This window comes from Homo sapiens, chromosome 18 (assembly GCF_000001405.40).
Source record: "Homo sapiens chromosome 18, GRCh38.p14 Primary Assembly".
Classification (NCBI taxonomy): Eukaryota; Metazoa; Chordata; class Mammalia; order Primates; family Hominidae; genus Homo; species Homo sapiens.
Window position 1 is genome coordinate 7155962 of NC_000018.10, and position 14222 is coordinate 7170183.

Here is a 14222-nt window from a genome sequence, read left to right on the forward strand (position 1 = left end):
AGAACGTGCCCTGTCCTGGCATCGAGGGAAGCTGGGCAATGTAATTTGTTAGGTGGGGGATTTATTCACACCAAATAAAATCAAAGTTCCTTACCTAAGCAATAATTTCAAGACGAATAATTGCCAGGTAGGCAAATATCAGTCTCTGCCACAGCTCTATGACATTACCCCATCCCTAAATTTAGGACTTGTCCAAGGGTTTTCCTCTAACCCCGTTCCATCTCCTCTCAACACCCACTCTTCAGTCCTTCGGCTCAAGACAGTAACTTTTCTTTTCTTTTTTTCTTTCTTTTTTTTTTTTGTTTTGAAACGGAGTTTCGCTCTTGTCGCCCAGGCTGGAGTGCAATGGCACAATCTCAGTTCACTGCAACCTCCGCCTCCTGGGTTCAAGCGATTCTCCTGCCTCAGCCTCCCAAGTAGCTGGAATTACAGGTGCCCACCACCATGCCTAGCTAATTTTTGTATTTTTAGTAGAGATGGGGTTTCACTATTTTGGTCAGGCTGGTCTTGAACTCCTGACCTCAGGTGATCCAGTCTCCTCAGCCTCCCAAAGTGTTGGGATTACAGGCATGAGCCACCACACCCGGGCTCCCAAAGTCCCGTTATTGTGAGGTGGGTTTTTTTGTTTTTTGGTTTTTTTTTTTTTATGGAGTCTTGCTCTGTCACCAGGCTGGAGTTCAGTGGTGCAATCTCAGCTCACTGCAACCTCTGCCTCCCTGGTTCAAGCGATTCTCCTGCCTCAGCCTCCCGAGTAGCTGGGATTACAGGCGTGTGCCACTGCGCCCGGCAGAGAGGTGGGGTTTTAAGCGGTGACTGCCCTGTCCCACCTTGGGACTCTGCAGACAGTCTCCACCAGATGTGGGCCCTTCACCTTGGACTTCTCAGCCTCCATAACTGTAAGACATGAATTCGTCTTCTTTATAAATTACTCAAATTTCAAGTTTTCTGTTATAAGAAAGAGAAACAGATTAACATTAACATTAAATACAAGAATGCAGTCGAGCTATCCGCTGGAGTGTAGAGTTTATGGTTTCCAGGACAGACAAATTGGAAGTTTGAGTTATGTATCACTGACTTTTTAGTGATTGTGTGTCAAGCAAAAAGAACCAACACATTGATGAATACATTGTTTCTTCTCCCCGTTCTCAAGGCTAAGTTTTGGATAAAATGTCAGTCATTTAATTAGAAAGTTAGGGTGTGTCACATGAAAAAAGGACTTGATTACTTGGTGATGTGAAATGAAATATAAACATACTTGGGAAATGTAAGCATTTTTATTTATTAAGGTGTAAGAGTGACCTTTAATCAAAGTACTATTTAATGTTAGGGAAGGAAAAAAAGAAACGATTAAACTGTAAGCAAGAGAGACACCACTTTAACTACTGTGCTTTCCTGAGTGTTTGGGGCATTTAGTCTTGTGCCAGAAAAGAAGCCATTGAAGAACTCCATCTCCATTACTTCCTGGGATTTAATTAAATTAACTCACATCTGAATACTAAATAGATACTTTGCAAGGGAGCAAGTCATGAAGACAGGTAGCAGAACAAGGTAAAGCGAATGGCAGAAGGGTGGTAGATGGCTCGAGGGCACTAACATGGTGCTCTTTCAGGGGCCTCCCAAGTGTTCCAAAGGGGCAAAGAAATAGACCTGGGGATTCCTAGTTTGCTTCACAGAGCCAATTCTGGGCCCAACCTGGGACAATTTCTCCATCTTCTGAGAGTGTTATTGTAGAGCCTGCTCATTTCTGAGCAGAGGGAGAGAGAAGGAGGAAGAGGAATGTCTTCAGTGGACTCTGTTCATATGCCTGCTCCCTAATTTCTAGCTAAAGGAGGCAGTCAGGGCAAGCAGTTGGCCTGTCCTGAACCTATCAGTGTTAGCAATGGTGATCCCTACAACCTCCACACAAGTCGGCTTGCCTTATCTTTTGATAAAAGCCTTAGCAAAGCAAAGCACACTAACCCAAAGTCTTTCTCTTTCAAGATAACAAGGCAAACTTTATCAAGACTGCAGCCAGGGGCGTAGTGTGGCTCTGATTTCTGGAGGCGTGGGCTGGTGGGGGAAGGAGGCCCCAGCAGGGCTTTGCAGTGCTATTGACTCCTTTTACCATCTTCTCAAAAAAAACCTCCAGCTCTTGCTTTCATACTGCTTCCTCCAAGTTCTTTTGAACTTTGCAAAAAGCAGTCATCACCTGTACATGTTACCTTTAACCCTTTAAAAGGTGACAGTTTTGCAGAACTTGCTCTGGTAGTTCCCGATGTCCTGAGCTCGCTGCAGTTCTATTGGAACTGTAAACTGTGGGATGACTTTAGGTAGCAGTGGCGGCTGGAGGGCTTCGTTACAAGGCTGGGTTGGAATGAACACGTTGGGTGTGGCATGGGAGCGAGAGGAAGACCCAAATCAGGAGACTGAGGCACATGAGGGAGCAGGAGTCCCGGGCTGCGCATGCAGTGGGAGGGCAGGCATTCCTCAGAGCTTGACACTGTTTCTAGAGGGGATGTTTGTCCGCTGACTCACACCGAGGCACGAACCACTGTCTACATCTTCCCTCTTTCTCCTCCTTTCAGATATCAGCCATGGTTTCATGGTTTGCATCCCAGGATAGAACACCAGGAAGCTCTGGTACTCTGGCTTCCCAGGCTGGATTATTTGGGGGATATTCTCATAATAGAGGCAATAAAGTGGACCCAGAACAGGCCTTGAATGGCCCAAGCTCAAATCTCCACCCTGCCACTTACTATCAGTTACACCCAACATCTCTGAGCTGCAGTTTTTTAAATCTGTAAAACGGGATCCCTAATGCCTGTCTAGAAAAGTTGTTATCATTAAGTATGATATCCATAAGTATTATATATATATAATAGATAATCAGGAAGTTATGTTTGTTATTATCTCTATGTTACTTTCTCTATGTCTGTACCTGTATTTGTGTCTATGTCTATATCTATATGTTATAGCTTTATCTACATGAATCTATATATGGAGTAAACTTATTTATGTTAAGAGCTTTATTGAGATATAATTTATATACAATTAAATCCATTTATTTTTTAAGAGTACAACTCAATGACTTTTAATAGTAAATTTACTAGTTATGCAACCATTGTTACAATAATGTTAAAACATTTTTATCACCCCCCCAGAAAAAACCTCATGGACATTTGCACTCACTAGAGTAAACTCTTTACCAAGACATTTACACTCATGAAAAGTTTTGTTAGAATTTTGTATGAAAAAAAATTTTTTTTCTTTTTATTTTTTTGAGAGGGAGTCTCACTCTGTCACCAGGCTGGAGTGCAGTGGCACAATCTCAGCTCACTGCAACCTCTGCCTCCCAGGTTCAAGCAATTCTCCTGCCTCAGCCTCCTGAGTAGCTGGGACCACAGGCACACGCCACTATGCCCAGGTAATTTTTGTATTTTTAGTACAGATGGGGTTTCACCATGTTGGCCAGGATGGTCTCGATCTCTTGACCTCATGATCCGCCTGCTTCAGCCTCCCAAAGTGCTGGGATTACAGGTGTGAGCCACTACACCCAGCAAAAAAAATTTTAAAGTGATTAGTTTATATATATATATATATATATATATATATATATATATATATATATATTTAAATTATACTTTAAGTTCTAGGGTACATGTGCACAACGTGCAGGTTTGTTACATGTGTATACATGTGCCATGTTGGTGTGCTGCACCCATTAACTCGTCATTTACATTAGGTATCTCTCCTAATGCTATCCCTCCCCCCTCCCCCCTTTATTTGTGAGATGTGAGATGATGAACTTAATACAAATTCAAAAGGAAAAAAGGAGTATACAAGTGATGTCTCCCTCAGGGTTTCTCTCAGTTAACATTAGTTGCCTCTAAAAAGAACTGCTTGAAATCCCAGAGAGGTAGACAGAGATTTTAAACTCAAGGATGTATGCTGATTTTATCAAATTCTTTTTCGTCATCTAGAAGTGTGCTGTTCAATAAGGTAACCATTACCTCCTGTGGCTGGCTCACAAACACTTGAAATTTGGCTAGTGTGATTGAGGAACTGAATTTTTAATTTAATTTTAATTAAACTAAATTTTAAGACTGATAATTCAGTTACTGAAAAACTCAAGTATGTTTGCAACTTGGATATATACACCTACTTTTTTGTATCATAAACTTCACTAAATCTTAATGCAGATCAAGCTTTTCCAATGAAAATTTTGTGTCTGAATTGCGGTGAGCTAGGACAGTACATTTTAGATATATTGGGTTAAATAAAATATCATTAAAATTTGTTTTATCTGTTGCTTTTTACTTATTTGAAATGTGGCTTCTAGAATATCTAAAATTACCCACGTGGTTCACTTTATCTTCCTATTGGACATGCTGCTCTAGAGAGATATCATATGCTTTTTCTCATTTTATCTATTATTATGGTGAAATATATTAGTGTATTTTCTAATAATTTTTCTCTTTTTGCATTTCTGGCATAACCACCACTTGGTCATGGCATTCTGAATTATTTACCATAATTCTTTATTCTTTATTTAGCTCCTTTGGCCTTAATATTCATATGTAAGATTGGTCTTTAGTTTTATTGGGCTATCATCACACATCTGGAAGCTGTTCCTGTCTAGTCTTGACATTATTTAAATAACATAGAAGATATTGTTCTTTGGGCCCGGCGTGGTGGCCCATGCACTTTGGGAGGCTGAGGCGGGTGGATCACTTGAGGTCAGGAGTTCGAGACTAGCCTGGCCAACACGGTGAAACCCTATTTCTACTCAAAATACAAAAAATTAGCCGGGTGTGGTGGCTCATGCCTGTAATCCCAGCTACTCAGGAGGCTGAGACAGGAGAATCACTTGAACCTGGAAGGCAGAGGTTGTAGTGAGCCAAGATCGTGCCATTGCACTCCAGCCTGGACAACAGAGTGAGACTTCATCTCAAAAAAAAAAAAAAAAAAAAAGGCCGGGGGCAGTGGCTCACGCCTGTAAACCCAGCATTTTGGGAGGCCGAGGTGGGCGTCACGAGGTCAGGAGATCAAAACCATCCTGGCTAACACGGTGAAACCCCGTCTCTACTAAAAAATACAAAAAAATTTAGCCGGGTGTGATGGTGGGTGCCTGTAGTCCCAGCTACTCAGGAGGCTGAGGCAGGAGAATGTTGTGAACCCGGGAGGCGGAGCTTGCAGTGAGCGGAGATCGCACCACTGCACTCCAGCCTGGGCGACAGAGTGAGACTCCGTCTCAAAAAAAAAAAAAAAAAAAATGGGACCTTAGAGAGATGATTAGGTGATAAGGGCTCTGCTCTCACGAAGGAATTAATGTCATTATCTCAGGAATGGGATTTTCATAAGTTAGGGAGTTCTGCCCACTTTTTCTCCCTCTCTCTCAGTGTCTCTCACCACATGATGCCCTTCTGCCATCTTAGGATGCAGCAAGAAGGCCCTTGCCAGATGCAGCTTTCAGTCTTGGACGTCCCAGCTTCTGTGAGCCAAACAGATCTCTTTTTAAAAATAAAATTACCTAGTCTGTATATTGTGTTTTAGCAGCAGAATACGAACAGGGTGGCCCAGTTTGAGTATCATTGCACCTAGGACCCTGAACCAGGCTTCTCTAGCTCCACTCTCATGCTCAGTTGCTGACTACACATTCTCTCTAGGGGTCCCCCTGTCCCTTCAACAATCAGGCTTCTGTCAAATCTGGCTTCACCCAAATTCATTCAACAAATTTACTCATGTGTGAACCCCAGTGATTAATAAGCTCAAATTGTTTGCTAGGTGTCTCTCTAGCCACTGTGCAAATCTCTGGATACAAATGTTTGTCCTGGAGACAGGATACTGGCTAACTCTCTTGAAGCCACATTCCAAATGGAAATTGGAGGAAGGGTCATATCCTCCAGCTCCCACCAAACTAATACACCCTGTTACAAAAGAATGTGGTTACTCAGTCTATCAACTTTGCTTTGGGTTCAGGATGTTGCACAACATACTGGTGAGATGTTAGAGGGAAAAGAAGAGAAAAGTTAGATACTAGAAACCCTCCCAGAGGGATTCTTCTGAAGAGAGATTCTTCTATAGCTCTACAATTATTAGGGCCTTAGGCTTGAGAGTCAAGTGAGTTGATATATGTAAAGCACTTAGGGTAGTGACAGGCACATAGTAAGAGCTATGAAAGTCTAGTTATTTATTTATTTATTTATTTATTTATTTATTTATTTATTTATTATTTTGAGACGGAGTCTCTCTCTGTCACCCAGGCTGGAGTGCAGTGGCACGATCTCAGCTCAGTGCAAACTGTGCCTCCCAGGTTCATGCCATTCTCCTGCCTCAGCCTCTCGAGTAGCTGGGACTACAGGTGCCCGCCACCACGCCCAGCTAATTTTTTTTGTATTTTTAGTAGAGACGGGGTTTCACCTTGTTAGCCAGGATGTTCTCAATCTCCTGACCTCGTGATCTGCCTGCCTCCCAAAGTGCTGGGATTACAGGCGTGAGCCACCGCGCCCAGCCAAGTTTAGTTATTTTTATCTCCATGCTCGGCATCACCGCTCCCTGTCCTGCCACCATGGGAATGTGGGCCCATCCCAGCACAGCCTCCTTCCTCCTGCTGCCAAGGCTGCTTAGGTTCCACACCTGAGTCAGGAAAGTCCCAAATCCACCATGTTCAGAGAAGATACTTTCAGTTTCCAGCCCCATGACAGCCCTTAGGGTAGTTCACAAATACTCTTCTTTGCCTTCTTCAGGGACCTGGTAGGATTATAATTCCTCATGTCTTTTGATGTCCCATGTGGGCATGCGACTCTCTTGGCCAACAAAACCTGGAAGGAGTTAACTTGTGTTGCTTCTGGATGGAAGTTTTAAGAGGCCATGTGTGAGTCGCCACAACCCCTTATCACTGCTGCAGCGATTGTGAACTTGTGTCCAGCCAGAGCTTCCATCAGCCCAGGACCCCGAGAGATGGCACTGAGTTCGGCCCCAGCTGACCTGCACTGATGTGTGGTGTCAGTGAAAACAAACCTTTAGTGTATGAGGTCCCTGGGATTTGGGGGTTGCTCCTGCAACGTAATGAGCCTACCATGAATGACACACCCCTAATGAGGCTTGTATGAAATGTGATAGGCTTGAATTAAATCCCACACACTGGGATTGAGAAAGGGGGAGACTCAAACTAATGTTCATCCTTCTCAACAAAGTGCAGGTCCCTGTGTCATCTCAGGCATATGTGAGTATATCCCTGTCCTCGGGAGCCTTCCACATGCCCCCATTACAGCTCTTCCACACTTCCACACAGGTGGTTGTTTGTTGCCTGTCTGATTCTCCTCTACAACTATGAGCTCCCAAAAGGCAGCAATGATATATTTTTACCCAACCATCCAATGAACTTTTTTTTTTTTTTTTTTTTTTTTTTTTTGAGATGGAGTCTCACTCTTTCGCCCAGGCTGGAGTGCAGTGGAAAGATCTTCGCCCACTGCAACCTCTGCCTCCTGGTTTCAGGTGATTCTGCTGCCTCAGCCTCCGGAGTAGCTGGGATTACAGGTGCGTGCCACCACACTCAGCTAATTTTTTATAGTTTTGAGTAGAGACAGGGTTTCACCATGCTGGACAGGCTGGTCTCGAACTCCTGACCTCAAGTGATCTGCCTGCCTTGGCCTCCCAAGTGCTAGGATTATTGGCGTGAGCCACCCCACCCGGCCCCAATGAACTTTTAATCAAGTTCCTTAACAGGTCTGTGCTTCAGTTTCCTTATCTATAAAACACAAATAATAATCATACTTAGCTCAGAGTTGCAGTGAGAATTTGATTGAATAAATGAACCAATACATTTGAATGGTAGTTAAATCACTATTAGGGCAGTGCCTGCCACATAAGCCATACTATGTAAGTGTTACCTTTTATTTTATCATTTCTGTTTGAAGGACTCTTGATTCCTGAATTATCTGTGTAAACCATTGCACTCTGCGTAGTCCCAGCACTGTGCCTTACAGATGAAGCAGCTGTGGTTCAAGGGACAAAAGAGGCAAGAATGAACGGTTCCAGGATTTCCGGCTTGGGGAACCTGGTGGGCGTTATGCCTTCAGCCAAGAAAAAGAAAGTAAGAGGGATAGATTTAAGGGGGATACTGAACTGACTTTGGATGTGTTGAGTTTTAGGCGCCTGCAGGTCATCTAGACGGAGATGACTGATAGGCATTTAGGCAGGTGGATTTGGAAGTAAGCCGAGAGATGGGGTGTGGGGGGAGCAGATGTAGACGCATGTGTCATCAGCATGTCCATGGCAGGTAAAGTCGTGGGATTCGAGGGACAAGGACTGAGGACCGCCCCCATGGGGAGAACCTATAGTCAAGGAGAGGTGGGAGGAACAAAAATGAGCCTGCCACTGGGATGGCAGAGACAACATTTACTATAAACTCAAAATAAAAAGAAAAACATGGACTTTTGACTGTTCTGGGAAATTGCATAAACTCAAAGTTCTCTCCCTATAATCTCTTAGAATATGTGTGTGAAGAGATTCTCTACAACATGGGAGTGTGCACAAGCTGCTCTGAGCTTGCCACACCGCATCCCACGAGGACAGGGTGGTGCCTGGGCTGACCTCAGGCCTGGGAGGCACATCATTCTCGTTTCTGAACGATAAAATGTTGTTCAGAGCTAAAGAACACAGTTTTCTCCCTTCACCCCTCCCAATCGTTTTAAATGAAAAAGCATTATAGCCATGCATAATGTCTCTTCTCATTAAAGTTTAATCCTAATCTGCAATAAGTCATACTGAACACATACTAATGCAGTAATTGTGGGTTTGGGTGTGAAAGAGAATTCAGTCTTCACGTGTTCTGGACCACGACAGTTTACTCCGAGCCCCAATAGATGGCACTGCTGATGCATGCAGCAGGAGAAACCAAGCATGGCTTCCTGAGTGGAACCAGAGTGATTCTACTACTTCATCTGTCTTTGGTAATAATCTATCATCCCCCAAGAAACATTATCTCCAGATGCAGTTTCTTATTCTGTATTCCATGTGGCACACTTAGAACCTGCTGCCCCACCAAACCCTGTCCCCCACCTTGGATCCTTCTCCTAAGGTTTTGGGCAAAAGAGCTCCTCTTCCTTTTCAGTGGTAGCTGCCTAGAATTGCCTTCCTCTCCTTCTTTTCCTTCTGCTTCCCTCTTCCTCACAACCCTACAGCTGTCCAAAAGCAGCCAGAGCCTGTGACCCCCATCACTTGTCCTCCTGGGTGCCCAGCCTGGCAGACGTCACCTGCAGATACCTGGCCTGCACTCTGGAAGCACACGCCCCCTACCATGTGGGAAGGTAATATCTTCTTTCAGATATCACATTGTTTGGCCAGTCATCAAATGCATCATTTTACTTCAACCAGATTAGGAGTTCAGTGGTTCTGGGGGGCTGGGGGAACACGGCCACCAATCCTAACAACCCTATCACTCAGTGAGTCCCAAACCCAAAGGCGGTGATTGGCTGAGATAAAATGGGATCACAGCTAGGTGACTGCATCACACAGTAAGTGCTGTGACAGGGCTGTAAGGAAAATGCCATAAGGGAATTCCTTATTCCTCCAGGTGAAGGCTGAAGCAAGGCATAGTGAAGGAGGTGATATTGAGCATGATCTATGAAGAGCCGTTCAGCAGAAGGAGTGGGGAGTGTAGGGACAGGAGGCAGTGCCCACCAAGACCACAGTGTGCTTCTGGCCTGGGAGGCTAGGAAGCTTGATGTAAAGTGAGTAGATTGACCAATGGGAAGAAGGGAGAGGGGGCTGAGGACAGACTGAGCAACCTTGAGTGCCCCTCGGTCCTTAGGCTTGAACGCTAAGCTATGAGGAGCCAGCAAAGGTTTTCCAGGTCAAGAGTTGAGTGTGTCCCCCTCAAAAAGATATAAAGTCCTAGCCTCCATACCTTAGAATGCGACGTAATTTGGAAAAAGGGCTGTTGCAGATGTGGTTAGTTAAGGTAAGGTGAGGTCATACTGAAGTATGTGGGCCTTTAATCCCAAACAACTGGTGCTCCTATGAGAGGAGAAAAGACCCAGACACACAGGGTGGGAGGGCCACAAGGCAATGCAGGCGGAGGTTGGAGTGGTGTGGCTGCACGCCGAGGAATGCCAAAGGTTGCTGGCAACACCAGAAGCTGGGACAGGCAAGGAAGAAGCACCTATGGGTTTCAGCAGGAGCGTGGCCCTACTGATGCCTTGACCTTGGACTTCTAGCCTCAGACTCTGAGATAATCAGCTACTGCTGTTTAAGCACCCAGCTGGTGGTGCTTTGTTACGGAAGCTCCAGGAAAGTGAGCCACGGCCCTCCTCACACCCTGCTTATGTCCCTGCTAATCACCTGCACCTGAGCTGGGAGACCCTGTCCTCACCTCCTTGTGCTCCTCCACGCCCTCCTATCTGTGCTTCCATGATTACCTCGAAGCCCTCCTCCTCCTCAACCCACCACGACCCTCAGTCCCAGTGACTTCCCTCTTGCCACTTACAGCCTCCACTGCACACTTGTCCTTGCTGTTCCACAGCCTCCCCTGCTCTCTCATTGTCTCCCAGATATTAGGCTGCTTCCCCAATGAAGCTCTAAGGGCCTTGAATGCTGTCCCCAAGTTTAGGAGCTGTGTTTAACATTAGGCCAATCTAAGCCATCATGAACACATTTACTGAGTTGACTGATTTGCTCAGGGCTTTGGAGGAAGAAGCAAGAGACAGAGTTGACAGCAGCCTCAAGCACTAGCATAGGGATATTTTCATAATAATTATCAAGCCAGAGGGCATATGTGATAAAACAAGCTTTGAGACAGAATAGCTCTGAGGTATGACCTCAGCTCTACTACTTAGCAGCTGGTTAACCTTGGGCAAGTCACATGACGTCCCTGTGTCTGTTTCCTCACCTAAAAGATAATGTCTGTGACTCCAGATTGTGAACTGAATGTCTATGGAAGATCAGATGTTCATGAAAAGTCTTTGCGCAGTGGATGTCCAACACTGTACATGGCCATGGTGATTCGCACTCCAGCCAGCCCCGACTTCCTGTATCAGTCAATGATACCAGGATGTAAAGAATTTGCATTCTGTGAATTTGCACTATGAAGAATTTCCCTCAGATCATAATAAAGTATAATTTCATAAATAATGGGCTTTCTATGTTGTCTAAGAATTTCAAGTGAGGCCCTGAAGCTGAGAACAATACATCACCATGGCCCCTGTGTTCTAGAAAGTGGTGTGAGGCCATCTGGGCAGAACTTGCTGAGGGTGGGCCCAAAGCCAGTTCTGCAGCCCCTGCATGTCACTCACTTTTCATCCACTTTTAATCTAAAAGAGATGAGAATGGGCCAGGCACAGTGGCTCACGCCTGTAATCCTAGCACTTTGGGAGGCCGAGGTAGGAGGATCACCTGAGGTCATGAGTTTGAGACCATCCTCGCCAACATGGTGAAACCCTGTCTTTACTAAAAATACAAAAATTAGCCGGGTGTGGTGGCACGCATTTATAATCCCAGCTACTCTGGAGGCTGGGGCAGGAGAATCACTTGAACCCGGGAGGCGGAGTTTGCAGTGAGCCGAGATTGCACCACTGCACTCCAGCCTGGATGACAGAGCGATATTCTGTCTCAATAAATAAATAAATAAATAAATAAATAAATAAATAAATAGGAGATGAGAATGGTAGGAGGAAAAGGTGATTTCTTTGAAAACAGCAGTCAGTGTAAGAGAATAGACTGCAGTCCCTTCTCCCACTGCCCAAGGATGTGTTCTGCTGCTGGGATGTTTGCTGAGGAGGGAGGTCCCCAGGCCCTGTGGCAGAAAAACAGGGCAGGATGAAGGGCCTTGTGAGAGCTGCAAGTGAGACCCCAGGTCGGGTGCCCCCCACCCCGGGACCACCCCCTGGTTCTCACCTGGAAAAGTCTGAAGGCAAGAGATGGTGGACGCTGTCCCCAGCAACAGAGAGGTGGTGCTGCAGGGGGCGGCACCTGAACTGCTGGAGGGGAGGGGAAATTGTGAGCCAAGGTGGAGCCGACTTCAAAGATGCCTCTGCCCAAGACCTTCTTTCACAGAGGGGACCCCAACAGACAGGGGCTCTGTGGCGTGGAAGCAGAGCCTGAGGGCCAGCCCTAGGAAGTCAGACAGAGGCTGCTTTGCTCCCTCCAGGGAGGGGCCACATCTAATGTCCCCAGCTGTGTGTGTGCCTGAAGAACCCACAAGAGCAGCCCTCCAGACCGTCATCATGACACCACTGCCACAGCACCAGATGGCCACAACATCACGCAAGAAGCCCCTTTTCCCTGTCTGCCCCACCCTTCACCGTGCCCTGGAGAAGCCAGAAATGAACTTAGAGCTGCCAAACCCAGCTCAGGCCTGCGTCGTGGAAGCTTTCCATTGAATGAGATGTTTGCATTTTGAGTCAAAGGGTCTGGACTCTTTTTTTTTTTTTTTTTTTTTTTTACAGTTTAAGTTCTAGGGTACATGTGCACAACATGCAGGTTTGTTACATATGTATACGTGTGCCATGTTGGTGTGCTGCACCCATTAACTCGTCATTAGGAGATATACCTAATGTAAATGACGAGTTAATGGGTCTGGACTTTTTAATGTCTGAGAAGGAGATTGCTCTAATCCCTGAAAGTCACAGGGAAAGCTTAAGTACATCTTCCAGGCCTTAGGAATGGAGATCGGGGGTGCAGGTGTGAAGACAGTGGTGGGAAGAACAAAAGCTCCTTTTTCCTTGCTCTTAGCAAGGTCAGTTCATCCAATAAACCCTTCGAACGCATATTACGTGTTCTCCTGCTGACTTTATTGTCTTCATTTTTTGAAGTGTTGGCATTTTAAATGATCCTAATGACACTGAATCTGTCTTAATTACAACCTTTCCTCTCAGGGCACAGAGTTGTCTGTGAAAGAATCTTCTAAATTTCTTAATTAACCTGCAGTGGCTTTATTTTGCCAAAGACTGTGCTTGCAGCCATTATGAGATACTCTCTATGTGCTACCCCAGCGTAGTTAAAACTTTAAAAACTACCCTATAAAGCAGAAAGCCTATAACAATAAAGTGCTTGGCAATGAAAGGTCAGGAAGCCTAAGTAAATAGGCAACAATTAGATTAAGAATTTAAAGTCCAAGGTCTCAGAGATTAACCTTCACATCCTGCACAATCATTTCCAAGGGAATATTTAAGGATAATTGTATTTTATGAACCTGCCTCAAATCCCATTTTTGATGACGAGGTTTTTGTAAGCAAGCTTTAATTCATTAATATGCAGCTCTTTACTACCCAATCTACTTTATCTTTCAAAGCAAGTGGTTAGGCCTTCCTGTCAATGGAGACCAGACCTTAGGTTTGGCAAATAGAATTGGGCAGAGATATCATTGGGAGGAAAATTCCTCATATCCCCAGTTTCCTTTTAGATTTCAGCTCTTTCCAGTAGACAAGGACTTACGGGGAGACCAAGGAATCTTTAGGCTCCCCACTCACTTGAGTCTCTTGTAAGGCCTGGGAGGGACCCCGGTAATATCATCAGAAGGTCATCTGTTTTTATCAAGTTGGCAAAATTAAGATAATTGAACAGCAGTTTGTCCAGAGCATCCTGTCTTTCCACGCTAACTTGCCCTTTCTAAAACTTTTTTCAGATCTGGTGGCATTGGGGTGTCTATGGGCATTTTGGGGACTTGGCTAGAGCAAAGTTGAGCTAACTGGGTTCAAGAACGCCGTTCTGAGGTGTGGATGGGGGACCCCTACCTCAGGGGGTCCTTGGAGGGTGCTGCCCCCCAGGTGCTGTCCCTGACATGGTCTCTCGGTTGCTGGGGCTGCAGGCCACGTGGCCATCTGAGAACCCACACAGCTCGGCTTGCTGAGCCGGGGCTAGGGGCTGGGGGAGTCCCTGCCTCTTCTGAGACACCCCCACCCCCAAAACCCCTGCCACCACGGGCCTGAGCCTCTCTTTGCCTGCCGGGCTTCTAGGCGCCTTCTCCTCTGGAGCCTTGTGGGGGTCTCTGCACAGCTCCAGGCCACGGCAGCCCATTCTGCACTCTCCGCCAGGGCCTCCAGGGCCCAACTGCCCTGGATTCCTGTCTGGAGCAGCCCCCACGGTCACACCACTCCGGAATCACTGTGAATGCTTTCCTGCGTGTGCTTTTCTGGAACTGCTCCCCAGGGCGCAGGGATGGCTGGTGGCTGGAGAGTGATAGCTCCTCCCTTCGCTTTCAGAGCGTCTGGAGAGAGGAACTAGGAGTCCTACTTCTGTTTGCC

General features: G+C 45.8%; 1 annotated feature.

Annotated features, from left to right (window-relative positions):
- Positions 2251-2751: an enhancer, noted in NCBI's record as "H3K4me1 hESC enhancer chr18:7158211-7158711 (GRCh37/hg19 assembly coordinates)". NCBI's record gives its function as "activates a minimal SCP1, AML or CMV promoter by ChIP-STARR-seq in naive H9 embryonic stem cells {active_cell/tissue: H9 hESC(naive)}" and the evidence as "EXISTENCE:reporter gene assay evidence [ECO:0000049][PMID:30033119]".